The following is a 19,614-nucleotide window of genomic DNA, read 5'->3' on the forward strand; positions in this document are numbered from 1 at the left end:
TCTAACATTGAACTAAATTTGTATTACTAACCGAGCTTGTTCATGGTTTTTATACTTTGCTAGGTATACTTCCTAGTATTTTGTTTACAATATTTGTCTCTGTGTGCATGGATGAGGTACACAATAGCAAGGTTACCCTAGTCTCAAATGAATTGAAGAATGGCCTCTTTTTTCTCCCCTCGCAAATAATTAGTGTAACATTGGAACTACTTGTGACATCATCTGGGCATCCTGTTTTCTTTGTAGAATTATTAATTATCAACTCAATTACTTTAATGGTATGATTTCCATCCAGATTTTCTAATTATTTGAGTCAACTTTAATAAGTTAAATGTATCCAAAAATTTGTTAATCTCACTTATTTACAAATGCATATATTTAATTGTCTTATTACTTAATGAAATAGATCATAAATATAAAAGTGTGTGTGTACAGCTTAAGAAGAATATAAAATGAGCATATGTGTCCTTCCTTCAGGTTATGAAATAGAATATTTCCAGTATCTTAGAAACTCCCATTGCCCTTCTACAATGCCACTCACTCCTTCCACAAGAGGTAACCACTATCCCTAACTTCCTGTTAATCATTCCATTGCTTGTCATTACAGACTTGTATATTGTTTAGTTTTGCACATTTGACTTTTTAAATAAGTGAAACTATGTATTGTTTCTTATGATCAGATATGCATACACACAAACATGTATATGTATGTATATATACACACATACACACATTATTTTTAAGAGCAGTTCAAAGTTCACAGCAAAACTGAGCAGCAGGTATAGATTTCCCATATACTCCCTGTCCCCCACACATGCATAGCCTCCCCCATAATAAACATCCCCCACCAGAGTGGTGCATTTGTTACAATTAAAGAACCTACATGATACATCTTATAGTTTGCATTAAGGTTCACACTTGGGCTTGGACAAATTTACAATGACAAGTATTCACTATTAAAATATCATACACGTACTTTCACTGCCTTAAGCATCCTCTGTGCTCTGGTTATTCATCCCTCTCTTCCTCCTAACTCCTGGGAACCACTGATTTTTTTTTCTATTTCTATAGTATTACCTTTTCCAGAAGGTCATAAAGTTGGAAGTGACATACGTAGCCTTTTTAGATTGGCTTCTTTCATTCTGCAATATGCATGTAAGCTTCCACTGTGTCTTTTCATGGCTTGACAGCCATTTATTTTATCATTGAATGGTATTCAGTTGTCTGGATGTAATACAGTTTGTTTAATTATTCACCTACTGAAGGTAATCTTGCTTGTCTCCAAATTTTTGCAATTATAAATAAAACGTCCATAAACATCTGTGTGCAGGTTTCTGTGTGGACATAAGTTTTCAACTCCTTTGGGTATATACCAAGAAACAAGATTGCGGGGTCGTATAATAAGAGTAGATTTAGTTTTCTAAGATGCCACAAAACTATTCTCCATTTTGTATTTCCATCAGCACTGAATGAGAGTTCCTGTTGCTTCACATCCTCATCAGCATTTGGTGTTGTCAGAGTTCTGGATTTTTGCCATTCTAATATGCATGCAGTAGTATCTCATTGCAGTGCTGTGTTTGAGAATGTGAGTAGCTGCAGTTCATTCACTCTTAGTGCTGCGAGGTACTCTATTATTGGAATATATGATCATTTAGTTACCTATTCCACAATCTACCCATATTGAGAGATAACTGGATTGTTTCCAGGTTTTTAAAATTGTGAACATTCTCATATATCCCTAGGTAAACAAATGCAAGAATTTTTCTGGGGCCTGTAACAGGCTGACTAGATTGCACTAGGTTGTAGTGAAGCCACTGGGTCATAGGGTACATGCATGATCAGCTGTATGAGCTAACATCCGTTTTCCAAATGGCTGTCCTTCTACTTGCATGGGATGAATGCTTCCACGGTTCTTTATCCTTGCCAATACTACACCTTTCAGAACTTCCAAAAAATTTTGTCAATATGTGTGAAAGGGTATCTAATTGTTAATTTTCATTTTCATGATTATTATTAGGTTGAGCACTTTTTCACATGCTTATGGGCTATTTATGCTAACTTCTTGAGGTGTTATTTTTCACTTATTAATTTATAGGAGAGCTTTATATATTCTGGATACTAAACCTGTCTAGGTAACATGTGTTGCAAATATCTCTGCCAAGTTTTGCATATTTTTTTCTCATTGCGGTATCCAATAAACAGAAGTCTTAAATTTTTATGTGATCAAGTTAGTTTTTACTCTTGCCGTTTGTTCTTCTTCCCTATGTAAAGATAAAAGAGATGCTCCACAGTTTTTTTCTAAGAATGTTGAGAAGGTATCTTTATCCATTAAAATATATTTTTAGGTTTGGTCTATGGGATTAAGTTTCAATTTCCTTTTTTCCCCCTTATGGAGACCAGTGGTCCCAGTGTTGCTTATTGTAAAATTTACTATCTTCACTTAACCACAAGAAAAGCTGTGTTACAAAATATGTTTCCAAGTATGTGTGAAAAATATATTTATCTTTATGATTCTACTCAGATTAATTAGCTCTCAGGACTGCTGTGTCCAGAGTTGATTCCTTCTGGTGGGTTCGTGGTGTTGCTGACTTGAAGAATGAAGCCGCCGACCTTCACGGTGAGTGTTACCGCTCTTAAAGATGGCAAGGACCCGAAGAGTGAGCAGTAGCAAGGTTTATTGGGAAGAGCTAAAGAACAAAGCTTCCACAACGGGGAAGAGCACCCACGCAGGTTGCTGCTGCTGGGGTGGGGGTGGGGGGGTGGCCAGGTTTTATTCCCTTATTTGTCACGTTTCTATCCTATCAGAGTGCCCTTTTTTCAATCCTCCCTGTGATTGACTACTTTTAGAATCCTGCCGATTGATGCGTTTTTACAGAGCTTGCTGATTGGTGTGTTTTACAGAGCGCTGATTGGTGTGTTTTACAGAGCATGGATTGGTGCGTTTTACAGAGCGCTGATTGGTACATTTCACAGAACTCGTGAGACAGGTAAGTTCCTGATTGGTGCATTTTACTATCCTCTGGTAAGACAGGAAATTTCCCCAAGTCCCCACTCGACCCAGGAAGTCTGGCTGGCCTCAGCTCTTGCTACCAGAGGCTAATTTCCACCCTGGTATTTCTCAGGCCCATAGATAGTGTGAATTCAAACCCAAACCAATATGGCTATTGTTTTGTATTTAGAAATTATCATACGTTTTTTATTTTTCATTTTTTTGTCTACCCTATTGGGACCAAGACAAGCACATATTTTCACTTTCTTATGGGGGTGGGATTTTCCTAGCCCAGGCACTTAACGTGCTTCTTTTTAGAAATCCTAGATTTATGCAGGAGGCATTTTAGCCTATATTCCTTCCTGCATGGGCATCAGTCTCTGTTTCCTGAATTAGGTGCTCATGGGTCTGGGCCAGTAGGTCCTGGGAGACACCGCAGGGCAAATGCCAGATGAGACACTCACACCTCTGGATTCAGACTTTTTTTGCTCTTCTAGATATCTGAAAATTTGCCTTACTTTGACTCAGCCCATGCATTAAAGCAGATGCTTTTAAATATTTTATGATGCATGTTTTAGGAAAGGGTCTGTCTGGGTATTTCTTCTTTCGATTTGCATTTTTCATTCAGTTCTTCTTTCACACTATCCTAAGCATTAATCAACTCGCCATTTATGTCAGTACAAAACTTCACTATCCTGTTCATTATCACCATTTCATTTTGTTCTGCATAGGCCAGACTATTTATCTAAAAATGTTTAAAGAAATCTAAGGCCTTAAAGGATTCTTTCTCAAGGACTCTACTGTTTGTATTTAGAGAAATGCTCATTTGTTCCACTGTTTTACTTTCTTCTTGGGTCACGCTCTTTGATGACTGCGATCTTACAGAGGATGACAAAAGAGGGCCCACCCTGAGACAGTAATACCTGCTTGCCCCTTTGGATTTTATTAGTGTTATCAAAATATTAATAAAATGTCAAAAACAAATTACTATCATTAGAATGTGTGCCTCACTTAAAAATTTCTCTCTCTAATAAGAAGTTTTTGTTTCCTAGTTCCTTTGGTACCCTAATGTTTAGGTAAATATTCTCTGAGGAAAGGATGTGGAAGTCATAGCAAAATATATGCTGGACTTGAATGAAAATATCTGTTTCATAAAAGTTAAGCAGGCAACCAAAATTTACCTTTTTTAACCTAAATTATCTAAACATGTATTTACATTTCTGTTTCATTGAAAGATATTTGACATTAAATGTCCCTGAGACAGATTTTGGAATGCCCTCTCCTTCTAAAATATATTTTTTATCTTTTGTGGACTAAACAGTTAGTTAAAAATGAACTTAATGATTGCTAATTACTAAGTTATCTAAACAGTTATTTAAAAATGAACTTAATGATTGCTACTTAGTTATTTATAATGCATTTCAAAATTAACTTTATCATCTAAACCTTTTAACACAAATGTATTAAATTATGAAACAGGGAATTGGCTATTTTTGTTCAAATGTTTATTCTCATCAAACTTAAAATATCACTCAGCTATATGATTAAAAATGAAGGCTTCAGTCATTAAATTATTTCCCAGTTATTTGCGATATTTCTCCGTATTAAAGGAACAAACAGTGCCCTTCGAATCTGTTGATAGTTCTATTGATAGTGGCCATCACAAGTTACACATTATCAATAAGGTCAAGGCACAAATAAAATTTCTCCCTTGCTTTTCACTCAAAAACTACAAGTATAGTTCTTTGATAAGATGTCCCAATCATGATTTGTGATGCCAATCATAGAAGGAAAGAGGATGTTGAGAAACAATAAAATAGCTACTTTAAAATGTTCTGTGCCTGAACATTTTGATGGCAATATTGGTCATATTATAAATTTGAAAATATAAATTTTAATCTAGATTGACTTTATTCTACTAGTGATTTTAAGAGCTTTATCCAAGAGAAACACTTACATTTTTATTCCTAATGTTTCTTTAAAAATGTGAAACTCTTTTTTTTTTTTATAATTTTAAGAATTCCTAGATAAGCAGAACATAGAGCCAACTGTTATGTTCTGGTTGTTTTTAATAGGTATATTTATGTTATCCCCCAAATTATAATTTATTAATGTCTAACTTCAGTTAGATGAGTTGATTACTTTTCATACACCATTGACTAAAGGAAACCTAATTTTACACGTAATTCAAGGGGATCTGTGAGTAAGAACATTTTTAAATTAAAGCAACACATGTGCATGGAAAATCATTCAAACAGTTTGATGGCAAAAAAATCAGTGGAAACCAGAAACTTTTTTTTTCCTTCCACAGACCTTGGTCCTGTTTTTCAGAGTTAGGCAGGTTTTATCATACTCTTTTTTTTACTATATGCTATTCTCTTGAACTGTAAATAATATTATATAATCACCTAATTTGTTTTATCAGTTTTAAGTAATATCCCTTGACTTTTTATGAACGATAGAGAATATAGCTCATTTACCCTACTTTCTTTTCTTTTTTCTTTTTTCTTTTTTTTTTTTTTTTGAGACGGAGTCTCACTCCCTCACCCAGGCTGGAGTGCAGTGGCGCTATCTCGGCTCACTGCAAGCTCCACCTCCCGGGTTCACGCCATTCTCCTCCGTCAGCCTCCTGAGTAGCTGGGACTACAGGCGCCAGCCACCACGCCCGGCTAATTTTTTGTATTTTTAGTAGAGACAGGGTTTCACCGTGTTAGCCAGGATGGTCTTGGTCTCCTGACCTCGTGATCCGCCCGCCTTGGCCTCCCAAAGTGCTGGGATTACAGGCGTGAGCCACTGCACCTAGCCCATTTACCCCACTTTCTTCTTCTAAAACTATATTTCCAATTTAGTCTTTAATATATAATTTTAAGGGATTTTTAAAAATTTGCTTCCTCTAAATAATATACTTACAGTGCTTAATTCTTTGCTTAAATAATATATTGTTTAAATATACAGTCCATCCAATTTGAACACCACTGATTGGCTCAGTAGGATGTGGAGATTAGTGTACAACTTCCCTCCTCTCCAACAGTCCCTGTCATAGCTTTCGACTTGTATCAAATATGGTTCTATACTTATATTTTCACATTCTATGTAAATTACATCCTATTTTGTAATTATAATAAAGTCTGTGCTTTGTTCATAGGTTAATTTTGATCATGGAATCTCAAGTGAATTGACAGCATCATTATTATGTTTTCTTTTTTTTTCAAACCACAGTCGCAGGTGGCATGATTTGATTTGTGTGAAGGCAATGAAATGATACACAGATACACCGAAGCCTCCCAAAAGAATCCTGGTTCCAAGATTCAAGAAGATGGATTAATGTTTTTCCATTAATTGTTGGAATTTATGCCATTTTTTTACTATGTGCCATCAATTTTAAAGCACTTCTGAAAAGAGATAACAATCTACAATAGCTGGCATTTTAAATTCATAAAAATATAGTATTTTCTTCTATTTTTATACATTTATGATGCATTATTTCTTATTTCCCAGGAATTTTACTACCTTTGTTTTGAATGATTAAAAAGGAAACATAGCACCTTTTTTCAACACATCACCAAGATAGCCTAGTTAATATTCTTCTCTTTCTGAAGTAGTTGAATTGGGATAGACAGCTTGCCAGGCCTGCTGCCACTTGTCAGCATCGCATCCCTACATTCAACCACACTTGCATCTAACGACCGTCTCTTTCATTAAATTTCTTTTGCACCTTTTCTTCCTGAATGAGTGCATGATAGTTAATTTTCCTGTGCACTTGCATGTCTCAAGAAGGTTTTAATTCTTTTTGTATTGCATTAATATTTAAGTTAAGTTTATAATTGCAAAATGATTTATACTCACAACATTGAAGACTCCTTTGTTTTGTTACATCCTGTCAAAATGATGAGAAGACAGATCATCCTTTAGGGAAAAATTGGTTTTGATTGGCGTCAGCCTTTCCAACAGCAATGCTGGAGACAAGAATAAAATGAAGTAATATTTTTCAAGGATTAAAAGGAAACAATTTTTAATCCTTGAATTATTTGCAGCCAAAATCTTTTAAATATGAAAGCACAGAAAAAGACATTATAAAGTAAGGCCTCAAAAGTTTTATTTCAAATAAATCCCTTTGAAAATGCCTAGAGGACATACTCCACTAAGAAGAGAAATACACCGTGGTGTTAGAATTGAGGGTTCCAGAATCAATGGTAGTGGTGTTTATCATACCCTAAAAAATACATGAAAACATAACATATTGAAAACAACTCCGAGTAAACTTCAGAAAGTACCACCTTAGACAAAGTGCTGTCGTAACAGAGAAAGCAAACCAGAGGTGGCAAGAGGAGGCTAGAGTACTTATTTGGTTTGCTGAGATGATATTAATTTTGACACATGGAGGAAATTGAGAAAATTAACATAAGTAATGACATAACCACCATTACTATGTTAAAAATTTCCAGATTTCAAACAAATGAAAAATTTTTGATCTATAGAGTGAGAGGTACAAATAGGAAAAAAGACACAGTAAAGTATGAAAAATCATAAATGAGATGACAGAAAGAAGTCATAATGGAACAATAATTACATAAATCAAAGGTTAAGATTGTCAGGTAAAATTTTTAAGTGTCAAAAAACACAATATAACCTATCGAAAATAAATTAGTGGAAAAAATGTAGCAGGAAAATATGAATAAAAAGAGCTAGGTCCAATTTTTGATAAAAATTTGAATTCAAGTTGATAATATCCTAAAGAAGGAAAAGTCTGTAGGCCAATAGAAGAAATAGCAGATGCAGAGGTGTGCTCACAAACATGAGTGCTCATGACACTAGTCATACAAACTCAAATTCCCATTACAGTTGTATACAAACATGATGGCCGACAAGAAGGAAGTTCCTTTAAGCCCACTTGGAGCATTAAGACAAATTTACCATGTGAATCCCTAATTGAACTCTGAGTTACTTCTGTGAAGGAATGAAGAATGATATCATAAATGAATTTCATATAGCACTCAAAGCTCCTCCTCTATATGGTTCAGGATAGACTTGAGTATCCACGGTTCTGGAGTGCAAGGGAGGAGAAAGGAAAGGTGCATTCAGACAAAAAAAAAAGTGTACAGAACACACCACGGATATCAGAAGAGGCTGCTCATGGCAAGGCGTGGTGGCTCGTACCTGTAATCCCAGCACTATGGGAGGCCGAGGTGGGTGGATCACCTGAGCTCAGGAGTTCAGGACCAGCCTGGGCAGCAAGGGAAACCCCATCTCTGCCAAAAATACAACAAAATTAGCTAGGCATAGTGGCACATGGCTGTGGTTCCCATTACTTGGGAGGCTGAGGTGAGAGGATTGCTTGAGCCTGGGAGGCAGAGGTTGCAGTGAGCCCAGATCGTGCCTCTGCACTCCAGCCTGGGCAACAAAGTGAGACCCCGTCTCAAAACAGAACAAAACAAAACAAAAAAAGAGGCTGATCAAGACCAGACTCAGCTCCTAGGCCTTGAACTCCAGTCCCACCTTACACCCTAAGGTTCCTAAAGAATCAGTAACTTAGTTCACCCTACCCCACTCCTGGCTTCTAGATGTAGCACAAGTTTCTAAACATGCAAACAATGAGAACTATCTATTTTGACAAAATAAGAAGAAATGGAGTCAAGGCAACATATAACATATTTTTGCCAGTTCTATTGATTAACAGAAAAATTGTATATAGTTAAGGTGTGCAGTGTGTTATTTTGATATACATATACATTGTGAAGTGATGATTACCACAATCAAGCTAACATATTCATCACCTCACCTGGTTACCTTTTTATTTGTGTTTGTGTGGTGGAGAACACTTGAGATCTACTCTTTCAGCAAATTTCAAGTATACATTATTATTGACTTTAGTCACTATGCTGTACATTAGATCTCCAGAACTTATTCATCTTATAACTGAAAGTTTGTACTTTCTGACAAACATTTTTTCTTTTCCCCCAACTCCCAGGCCCTGGTAAGCACTATTTTACTCTGTTACCATGAGTTTGACATTTTCTTAGTATGCATATAAGTGAAATCATGCAGGATATTTGTGTGTGTGTGTTCCTGGCTTATTTTACTTACCATAATAAACTCCAGGTTTGTCCATTTTGTTACAAATGGCAGTATTTCCTCATTTTTAAAGGCTAAATGATATTCCTTGTGTGTGTGTGTGTGTGTGTGTGTGTGTGTGTGTAATACATTTAAAACATCCATCTGTCAATGGACACAGGTAGTTTCCATATCTTGGCTGTGTACATAACACTGCAATGAACATGTAAGTATACATATCTCTTTGAGATAGTGATTTTCTTTACTTTGGATATATACCTAGATGGGGATTGCTGGATTATATGGGAGTTCCATTTTTAATTTTTTGAGGAAAGTCCATACTGTTGTCTCTAATGGCTGTACCAATTTACATTCCCATCAACTATCAACTAAGCACAAGGGTTTCTTTTTCTCAATATCCTCAGCAACATTTGTTACCTTTTTACTGTTACAATAGCCATCCTAATAGATGTGAGGTGATATCTCATTGTGCATTTTCCTGATGATTAGTAATGGCAAACATCTTTTTCTTAGTATATACCTATTGTCAATCGTATGTCTTTTAGAAATGTATCTCTTCAGGTCTGATACGCTTTGGCTGTGTCCCCACCCAAATCTCATGTTGAATTGTAGCTCCCATAATTCCCACGTGTTATCAGAGGGACCCAGTAGGAGACAATTGAATCATGGGAGCAGTTTTCCCCATACTGTTTTTGTGGTAGTAAATAAGCCTCACAAGATCCGATTGTTTTATAAGCGATTTCCTTTTTCACTTGGCTTTCATTCTGTCTTGCCTGCTGCTGTGTAATATGTGCCTTTAGCCTCCCACCATAAGTAAGGCCTCCCCAGCCTTATGGAACTGTGAGTCCATTAAACCTCTTTTTCTTTATAAATTACACAGTCTTTGGTATGCCTTTATGAGCAGCATGAAAACAGATGAATACAGTAAATTGGTACTGGTAAAGTGGGGTGCTGCTGTAAAGTTATCCAAAAATGTGGAACCAACTTCGGAACTGGGTAATAGGAAGAGGTTGGAACAGTTTGGAGGGCTCACAGAAAGACAGAAAAACATGAGAAAATTTGGAACTCCCTAGAGACTTGTTGAGTAGCTTTGAACAAAATGCTAATAATGATATGGACAATGAAATTCAGGCTGAGGTTGTCTGAGATGGAGACGAGGAACTTGTTGGGAACTGGAGTAAAGGTAAATCTTGCTATGTTTTAGCAAAGAGACTGGCAGCATTTTGCCCCTGCCCTAGAGATTTGTGGAACTTTGAACTTGAGGGAGATGATTTAGGGTAGCTGGCAGAAGAAATTTCTAAGCAGCAAAGCATTCAAGAGGTGACTTGGGTGCTGTTAAAAGCATGCAGTTTTAAAAGGAAACGGCATAAAACTTTGGAAAATTTGCAGCCAAACGACATGATAGACAAGAAAAACCAATTTTCTGAGGAGAAATTCAAGCCAGCTGCAGAAATTTGCATAAGCAACAAGGAGCCAAATGTTCATCCCCAAGACAATGGGGAAAATATCTCCAGGACATGTCAGAGATCTTTGTGGCAGTCCCTCCCATCAGAGGCCAGGAGGCCTAAAAGGAAAAAATCCTGGGTTGGATTCAGGGGCTCCCTGCTGTGTGCCACTTTGAGACTTGATGCCCTGCATCCCAGCCACTTTAGCCATGGCTAAAAGGGGCCAAGGTACAGCTTGGACTTTGGCTTCAGAGGGCACAAGCCCCAAACCTTGGCAGTTTCACATGGTGTTGAGTCTGTGGGTGCACAGAAGTCAAGAACTGAGGTTTGGGAACCTCTGCCTAGATTTCAGAGGATGTATGGAAACACCTGGATGTCCAGGCAGAATTTTGTTGTGGGGCGGGTGGGGGGGGGTCCCTCATGGAAAACCTCTGCTAGGACAGTGCAGAACGGAAATGTGGGGTTGAAGCCCCTACACAGTCCCCACTTGGGTACTGCCTGCTGGATCTGTGAGAAGTAGGCCACCGTCCTCTGGACCCCAGAATGGTAGATCCACCAACAGCTTGACCATGCACACGGGAAGGCCACAGACAATGCCAGCTCATGAAAGCAACCAGGAGGGGGGATATGTCCTGCAAAGCCACAGGGGTGGAGCTGCCCAAGGCCATGGGAGCCCACCTCTTGCATAAGTGTGACCTGGATGCGAGACGTGGAGTCAAGGGAGTGCATTTTGGCACTTTAAGATTTGACTGGCCTGCTGGATTTTGGATTTGGGGCCTGTAGCCTCTTTGTTTTGGCCAATTTCAACCATTTGGAACAGGTATATTTACACCCTCCCTGTACCTCCATTGTATCTGGAAAATAACTGACTTGCTTTTGACTTTATGTTCTCATAGCTGGAAGGGACTTGCCTTGTCTCAGATAAGACTTTGGAGAGTGGACTTTTGAGTTAATGCTCAAATGAGTTAAGATGTTGGGGGACTGTTGGGAAGGCATAATTTGCTTTCAAATATGAAGACATGAGATTTGGGAGGAGCCAGGGCAGAATGATATGATTTGGCTGTGTCCCTACCCAAATCTCATCTTGAATTGTAGTTCCCATAATTCCCACATGTTGTGGGAGGGACCTGGTGGAAGACAATTGAATCATGGGGGCAGTTTCTCCCATACTGTTCTCATGGTAGTAAATAAATCTCACAAGATCTGATTGCTTTATAAGGGGTTTCCCCTTTTGCTTGGCTTTCATCCTGCCTTGCCGGCTGTCATGTAAGACATGCCTTTCACCTTCCAACTGTGATCATGAGGCCTCCCCACCTGTGTTGAACTGTGAGTCCATTAAACCTCTTTTTTCTTTATAAATCACCCAGTCTCAGGTATGTCTTTATCAGCAGCATGAAAACAGACTAATACAAGGTCCTTTGGAATCGTCTAAGTTCCTAATTTATTTGGATATTAACTTCTTATCAGATATATAGCATGTAAATATTTTCTCCCATTCTTTAGGTTGTCTTTTCATTGTATTGATTGTCTCCTTTGTTGTGCTGAATCTTTTACTTTGATTTAGTCCCATTTGTCTAGTTTTGCTTTTGTTGTCTATACTTTTGGTGTCAAATCTGAAAATTTATTACCAATACCAGTGTCAAGGAGCTTTTCTCCTATATTTATGTCTAAGAGTTTTACAATATTGCTCCTAGGTTGAGGTCTTTTATCCATTTTGAGTCAATTTTTGTATGTGGGGTGAGATAAGGGTTCAGTTTCATTCTTCTGCATGTGGATATCCAGTTTTCCCAACACCATTTATTAAAGAGACTAAACTTTTATCATTGTGTTTTCTTGGCACCAATGCTGAAGATCAATTGATTGTAAAGGCATGGATTTGTTTCTGTGCTCTCTATTCTTTTCCCTTGGCCTACATGTCTGTTTTTATGCCAGTACCATACTATTTTAATTACTATAGCTTTATAATTTAGTTTGGAATAAGGTAATGTGAAGCTTCCACTTTTGTTTTTTCTGTTCAAGAATGTTTTGACTGTTTGGGGTCTGTTGCACACAGATTTTAGAATTGCTTTTTTCCATTGCTTTGAAAAATGCCACTGAAATTTTGATAGGGGTTGCATTATATCTGTAGATCACACTGAGTAATAGAGATTCTTTTATCTTCAAATTCTTTCATCAGTGTTCTATAGTTTTTGGTATATAGAAATTTTACTTTCTTATTTAAATTTATTCCTAAGTTAATTTTTTGATGCTATTGTAAATGAGATTGTGTTCTTTCAGATGGACTCTCGCTCTGTCACCCAGGCTGGAGTGCAGTGGTGTGATCTCAGCTCACTGCAAGCTCTGCCTCCCGGGTTCACACCATTCTCCTGCCTCAGCCTCCCGAGTACAGGCGGCCACCACCACGCCCGGCTAATTTTTTGTATTTTTAGTAGAGATGGGGTTTCACCATGTTAGCCAGGATGGTCTCGATCTCCTAACCTCATTATCCACCTGCCTCAGCCTCCCAAATTGCTGGGATTACAGGCGTGAGCCACCGCGCACAGCCCGAGATTGTTTTCTTAATTTCTTTCTGGGATAGTTCACTGTTAGTATATAGAAATGCAATAGGTTTTTTTTTTTTTAATGTTAATTATGTGTTCTGTAAATTTGCTGAATTTGTTTCTTAATTTTAACAGTTTTTTTTTGGAGCCTTTAGAATTTTCTCTATATAAGATCATGTCATCTTGAAATAGACACACTTTCACTTCTTTTCCAATTTGGATGCCTTTTATTTCTTTTTCTTACCTAATTGCTCTGGCTAGGACTTACAGACTTTTTCAGAAACCCCCCACAGTAATCTAGGGGAGTCCACTGTCACTAGATCTGCTTTATAAGAAACCCTAAAGGGAGTTCCTCAAACTGAAATGCAATAAGACTAATTAGTATCATGAAACCATATGCAGTTATAAAAAGTCACTGGTAACTATACAGTCAAATTCAAAATACTCCTAATACTGTAATGATGCAGTATAATCACTTTAACTTTTAAAAGGTTAAAAGACAAAAAATACTACAAATAAATATAATTACAAAATATACAAAGAAAGAAACTCTGACATCAAAAAACATAAGTGGAGGGGAGTAAAGTGTAGGGTTTTTGTATATGATTGAAGTTAAGTTGTTATCAACTTAAAATAGACCATTATAACTACAATCATGCATTTCTTAATGCGGATATGTTCTGAATAATGCAATTTTGTCATGGTGTGAATATCATAGAGTATACTTACACAAAATTAGATAATACCACCTAACACACACCCAGGCTATATGGTATAACCTATTGTTTCCAGGCTACAAATCTGTACAGCATTGTACTATACTGAATGCTATAGGCAACTGTAATACAATCATAAGCATTTGTGTATCTAATGTATGTAAACATATGAAAGGTACAATAAAAATGTTATAACCTTATGGGACCACCGTTGTATATGTGGCCCATCATTGACCAAAACATCCTTGTGTGGCACACGATAGCATACAATGTTTTATGTAAGCCTCATGATAATCACAAAGACAAACATGTAACAGATACACAAATGAGAATTTTACCACGTTTAAAAAAGAATTAATACAAAGGCACAGGAAAGAATCAAAGTATACCACTACAGAAAATAATCAAAGTAATCAAATCATGCACAGCAAGAGAGAAATAAAAGAACAAGAAAACTACAAAATGCCTATCAATAGTTACTTTAAATATCAGTGGACCAAATCAGTGAAACAAAAGACACAGAGTGGCTGAATGGATAGTAAAACAAGAACCAAATATATGCCACCTATAAGAGACTCACTTCACCTTTAGAGACACACATAGACTGAAAGAGAGGGAACAAAAGAAGAGAAAGAGTAGCTATTCTTACAACAAACAAAATAGACTTTAAGTCAAAAACTGTAACAAGAGACAAAGAAAGTCATTATAGAATGATACAAGGCTCAATTCATCAAGAGGATATAACTACTGCAAATATATATTCTCCCAACATTGGAGCACCTAATTATATAAAGCAAATATTAACAAATCTGAAGAGAGAAGTAGACAACAATAATACAATAACAGTAAGGGACTTCCATATCCCACTTTCAACAATGGATTGATCATTCAGACAGATAATCAATAAGGAAACAGCTGACTTGAACTACACTATAGATCAAATGGACCAGACATATACATGACATTCCTTTCCAAAACAGCAAAATACACATTCTTCTCGAGCATACACAGTACATTCTCCAACATAGGTCATATATTAGGCCAGAAAACAAGTCTTAGCAAATTTAAGAAGATTGAGATCTCACCAAGTATTCTTTTTGACTACAGTGGCATGAAACTGAAATTAAAAACAGGAGAAAACTTAGAAAAGTGACAAATATGTGGAAATCAACCAACACACTCCTGAATAACCAGTAGATCAAAGAAAACATCAAAAAAGAAATAAAATATCTTGAGACAAACTAAAATGAAAGCACGACATACTAAAACTGATGAGATGAAGCAAAAGCCGTTCTAAGAGAGGGAAGTTTATACAGATAAGTGCTAAATAAAGAAAAAAGATCCCAAATAAACCTCAAAAAATAGAAAAAAATAATCAAGCCCAAAATTAGAAGGAAATAACAAAGATCATAGCAGAAATAAATGAAATAGACTAGAAAAACAATAGAAAAGATGAATGAAACGAAGAGTTGATTTTTTGAAAAGATAATAAAAATTGACCAACCTCTCACTAGGCCAAGAAAAAAGAAATCTCAAGTAAATAAAATTAGAACAAAAAAGGAGATATTAAAATTGGTACCATAGAAATACAAAGGATAATAATAGTCTACTCTAAACAACTATGTGTCAACAAATTGTTTAACTTAGAATAGAGAAATTTCTAGAAACATACATCCACTAGACTGAAACATGAAGAAATAGAAAATAAAAACAGATAAATAATGATTAAAAATATTGAGTCAGTAGTCAAAAAGCTCCTGAAAAAGGAAAATCCAAGACCAGATAGCTTAGTGGAGAATTCTACCAAATGTTTGAAGAAGAATTAATACGATTTCTTCACAAACTCTTCCAAAAGTTGAAGAGGAGGGAACACTTCCAAACATTTTTTATGAGGCCAGCATTACCCTGATAACAAAGACAGAAAAGGACACTACAAGGATGACAGAGATTTTTAAGGTACAAATGATGTATTGTTGGAATTGAAAATACAGGCTTTGTTAGTACAAAGATTTGTGTGTGGATAGGTGGATGTGTACTGGTGTGTGCATGCATACATATACAAGCTTAACTTGTTTTATTGCACTTCACTTTATTATGCTTCTCGGATATTGCAGTTTGTACAGGTTGAAGGTTTGTGGCAACCCTGCACCAAGCAAGTCTACCAGTGCCACTTTTCTGGTAGCATGTGCTTATTTTGCACCTCTGTGTTACATCTTTGTAATTCTTGCAATATTTCAAATGTTTTGTTATTATTATATCTGTTATGGTGATCTGTTATCAGTGATCATTGATATTACTATTGTCATTGTTTTGGGGCATCACAAGCCATGCTCCAAAAGACAATGAGCTTAATTGATACATATGTGTATTCGAATGGTTCCATCGATCTGCCCTTCCTCCATCTCACCCTCTCCTCAGGTCTGTTTTCTGAGACACAGCAATATTGAAATTAGGCCAATTAATAACTCTATAAAGGCCTCTATGTGTTCAAGTGAAAGTAAGAGTCACACATCTCTTATTATAAATCTAAAGTGAGAAATGATTAAGCTGAGTGAGGAAGGTATGTTAAAAGCCGAGACAGGCCAAAAGGCCCAGGCTGGTCTCGAACGCCTGACCTCAAGCAATCCACCTGCCGCAGCCTTCCAGGTAGCTGAGATTAAAGGCATGAGCCACCATGTCCAGCTTCTATGCATTATTTTAAATGGAGTATTGAAGACTCTGTTACTGTAGAACTATTTCTAACTTCAATTCTGTCAATATTTTGGTCACAGGCCTTAATGTGATTACACGCTGGTCTGATGTTCATGGCCAGGACATTTTGTTTTCCTGTTGGACATAAACAATCTCACAGAATATCAACTTCAGAAGGTTAATCTGAGACCGTGATAAGTGCAAACAAAAACAAGGGCACTTTATAATGTTGTCTAAGTGCAGATAAAAAACAAGGTCTTGATGCCACCCACAAAATACTTAATAATCATATTGCTCCTGCTTTCTGACAGCATCCAATCTAAAGTCTTCACTTTCTGAGATCCTGTCCGAAATCAACCAATTAAAGTCCAAATCGTATAATAGTTTCTCTCTAACTCCTCCCACTGAGATGACCCATAGTACCCCATTCCTTGCTGCAATGTAATTATATTTACTTACAAGTGTGCTCCTGGTGGTCTTTAACTGAAGGGCACTGACTGGGTCACTGGTGAAGTTCCCCGCAGGAACTGAGTCAGACCCCATCTCAGGGCCCTGCACAAGATAGGTGCCTGCTCTAAGGCGTGGACCCTCGCCACAGCCCTGGCCCGTCTTGACGGGCGAGGGTTACTGTACTTGTCCCAACCGTACAGATGAGAAAGCTGAGACTCAGGGCGAGCAACCCGGGTCCCAGCGGAGCGCCCGGCACACGCCGACACTTCAGCACCAGTCGCGGTGGCCACCACTGTGCGCGGAGATGGCTGCGACGCGTGCGCAGGTAAAGTCCATCCGTGCCTTGCCTCCCACCGGCGCCTTCCCCGGCCTCTGGTTTTTGTACCCGCCAGCGGCTCCGACTCCATCGCGTCCTCTTCCAGTCTAGTGCTTTTTTCCAGATCTCGATCCCAAACTCCCTCCTGCCAGAATCTGGACCCGAATCCACCCATTGCCCGTTTTCTGCTGCCGCTGGAGAGAATCTCTGAGGTCCCCAGGAGAGCCTGCCTGCACGGAAGAGATGCCTCCTCAGTATGGCCGCCCCCGGAGAGGAGCGATTAAGTGCAGACCTCCATGTTGCTCTTGAGCCTGAGCGGCTTCAGGGAGCCATGTTTGTTACTGGCGGGCGCCGACCTCACTGAGCATGTGCAGCCCTGGCCGGGCGGCCTCAAAGTTCTGACATCACAGGGCGGTTCCTGAAGTGGACGTAGTTGTAAGAGCTAGTTATTTTAGACAATGCCTCTGGGATCAGGGACTCTAATCTGGAAATAGGTAGTAGGAGAGGTCGGTGATGCAGTCTCTGGATCAGAGACCTGAGCTATATGGGGTTAGAGAGGGGCCCTGGGCAGGCGAGTCTCTGGGGAGTGTGGTGAGAATCCTTGTGTAAGATGCTGGGAGGAGGTGGGGTCAGGGCTGGGGTCCGTGGGCCGACGGGTTGGGGGATGGCCAGCGTCAGGGATCAGTAGTAGAGATTCTATGTGCCCTGATCGCCAGTGGAGGTTTTAAATACAGAGTATTCATGAGTTTAGCAATGTTATTCGCCTCTCATTATTTAAATAATTTGAAATTTTCCCCAATAACTAGTGTCTTAGAAGTCATGAAAATTTCAGAAAATGACAGGTCTCCTGAGTTCGTGATGGGAGTTGGGCAGCAGTCGCATACGAGCACCTGGAGAGTCCTTGCCAGTTCTTTGGGGATGGGGAGCTCTTAAGACTGCCCTGAGACCGCCCTTTGACCTCATTATGGTCCTTTCTAGATCAAATGCTGTTTTCCATGACTGTCTCTGTTCTTCCCATACGCGAATGGCAGGCATCCAGATCTCCAAGAATAGAGGATTAGGAGAGACTCCACCACCTATGTCCTCACAGTTAATTATCGATTTGTGTCAGTTGCCCATTTTCTCACTTCCTGTTTGTGTGTCAAGGAGTATTAATAAATCTTTGCCTATTTAAAGATATTAGCCTTGGATTTTCAAATATTGCATATTTTGACATGTAAAAATTTGTTAGTTTTATTTTTTCAACCGATCTGACCTGTATAGTTGGGCTTGAGGAAGCTTCCTCATTCTACATGTTACTATGGATTTTCTAATATTAACACAGGGTTGTATTTTTTCCATATAACTTTCTATTGAATTTCTTTTTCCATATGATAGGTGGTGAAGGTTTAGCCCAGTAAAGCAGAGAGGTTAAGAGGTTAGATTGGGGGCTCTGGAGCCAGACCTATGTAGATCTGAGTCCTGGCTCTGGCACTTGAAAGCCGTGTGACCTTGGTTAAGATACTTAGTCCCTCTCTGCCAAATGGAGAAATAAGGGCACCTACCCCATAGGGTAGTTGTGTGATTACACAAGTTAATACACTTCAATCAGTAGCAAGAAAGTGAATGTCAAGCTGTATTTGTTCAGGCAGCCATATGGTAGCCCCACGTCCTTAGTAAACTGAGGTATTGAAGTATCTTCTTTTTCTTTCAGAAAATATTTGTCAAGCACCTTCTGTGTTCTAAGAACTGTTCTAGAGCTTTGCATGCTATGGAGGTCTAGAAATTCACATTATGGTGGCAGGTGACAGACAATACAAAGAGATAAAGCAATTTCATATAGTGATAAGCTAGGGAGGAGTGCTAAAAGGAGCCAAGGTGTAGTGGTGACTGGAAGGTGACCAGGGAAACCACTGTAGGGTTTCTAAGTGATGAGATCTGTGACAAATCCCTGTGGTCAGCAGCAGGCATTGGATATGTAACTTTATTCTGTCCCATTGATCTTGTAGTCAACCCTGGTCTGTTCTGTATTGTTTTAATTACATAATCTTTGTAATAATCTTTAATACCTGGTGGAGTGCTCTGTTTACTTATTTCTGCATAATTAACCACCCCTAAGCTTAACTTACTCATGGTTCTGCAGGGTGACTGCTCTCCATGTTTCTAGGTGGTTCTGCATGGGGCCTCTCACATGTGCTACAGTCAAACATTAGCCGGGGCCACAGTCATCTGAAACTCACTTACATGGCTGACAATTGATGTTGGCTGTTGCCTGGAGAAGACATATGTGGCGTGGTGGAATGGAATGGTGACTAGATTCAAGAAAGAGCTTCCCAGGAGGAAGGCTACCAAGAGACCGAAGTAGAGGCTTCAGTTTCTTAAAAAAAAAAAAAAAAAAAAAAAATCGGGCAAGGCA

At 38.3% G+C, this 19,614-nt stretch overlaps 1 long non-coding RNA gene and 1 pseudogene across 2 annotated transcripts in view; one reads left to right on the forward strand and one right to left on the reverse strand.

Annotated features, from left to right (window-relative positions):
• The window catches only part of FGF7P3 (fibroblast growth factor 7 pseudogene 3), a 60,783-nt pseudogene extending 43,214 nt beyond the window's left edge, over positions 1-17,569 (reverse strand). The window contains exon 1 of the transcript NR_003670.1: positions 16,913-17,569. The product of NR_003670.1 is annotated as a fibroblast growth factor 7 pseudogene 3 (transcript). The remainder of the gene's footprint in view (positions 1-16,912) is intronic.
• Positions 16,860-18,398, forward strand: FAM88D (family with sequence similarity 88 member D). Its single transcript, NR_126049.1, has 2 exons — positions 16,860-17,228; positions 17,344-18,398. It is a non-coding gene; the product is annotated as a family with sequence similarity 88 member D (long non-coding RNA).
• Positions 18,399-19,614: the final 1,216 nt, after the last annotated feature.

This window comes from Homo sapiens, chromosome 9, assembly GCF_000001405.40.
Source record: "Homo sapiens chromosome 9, GRCh38.p14 Primary Assembly".
In the NCBI taxonomy this organism is placed as follows: Eukaryota; Metazoa; Chordata; class Mammalia; order Primates; family Hominidae; genus Homo; species Homo sapiens.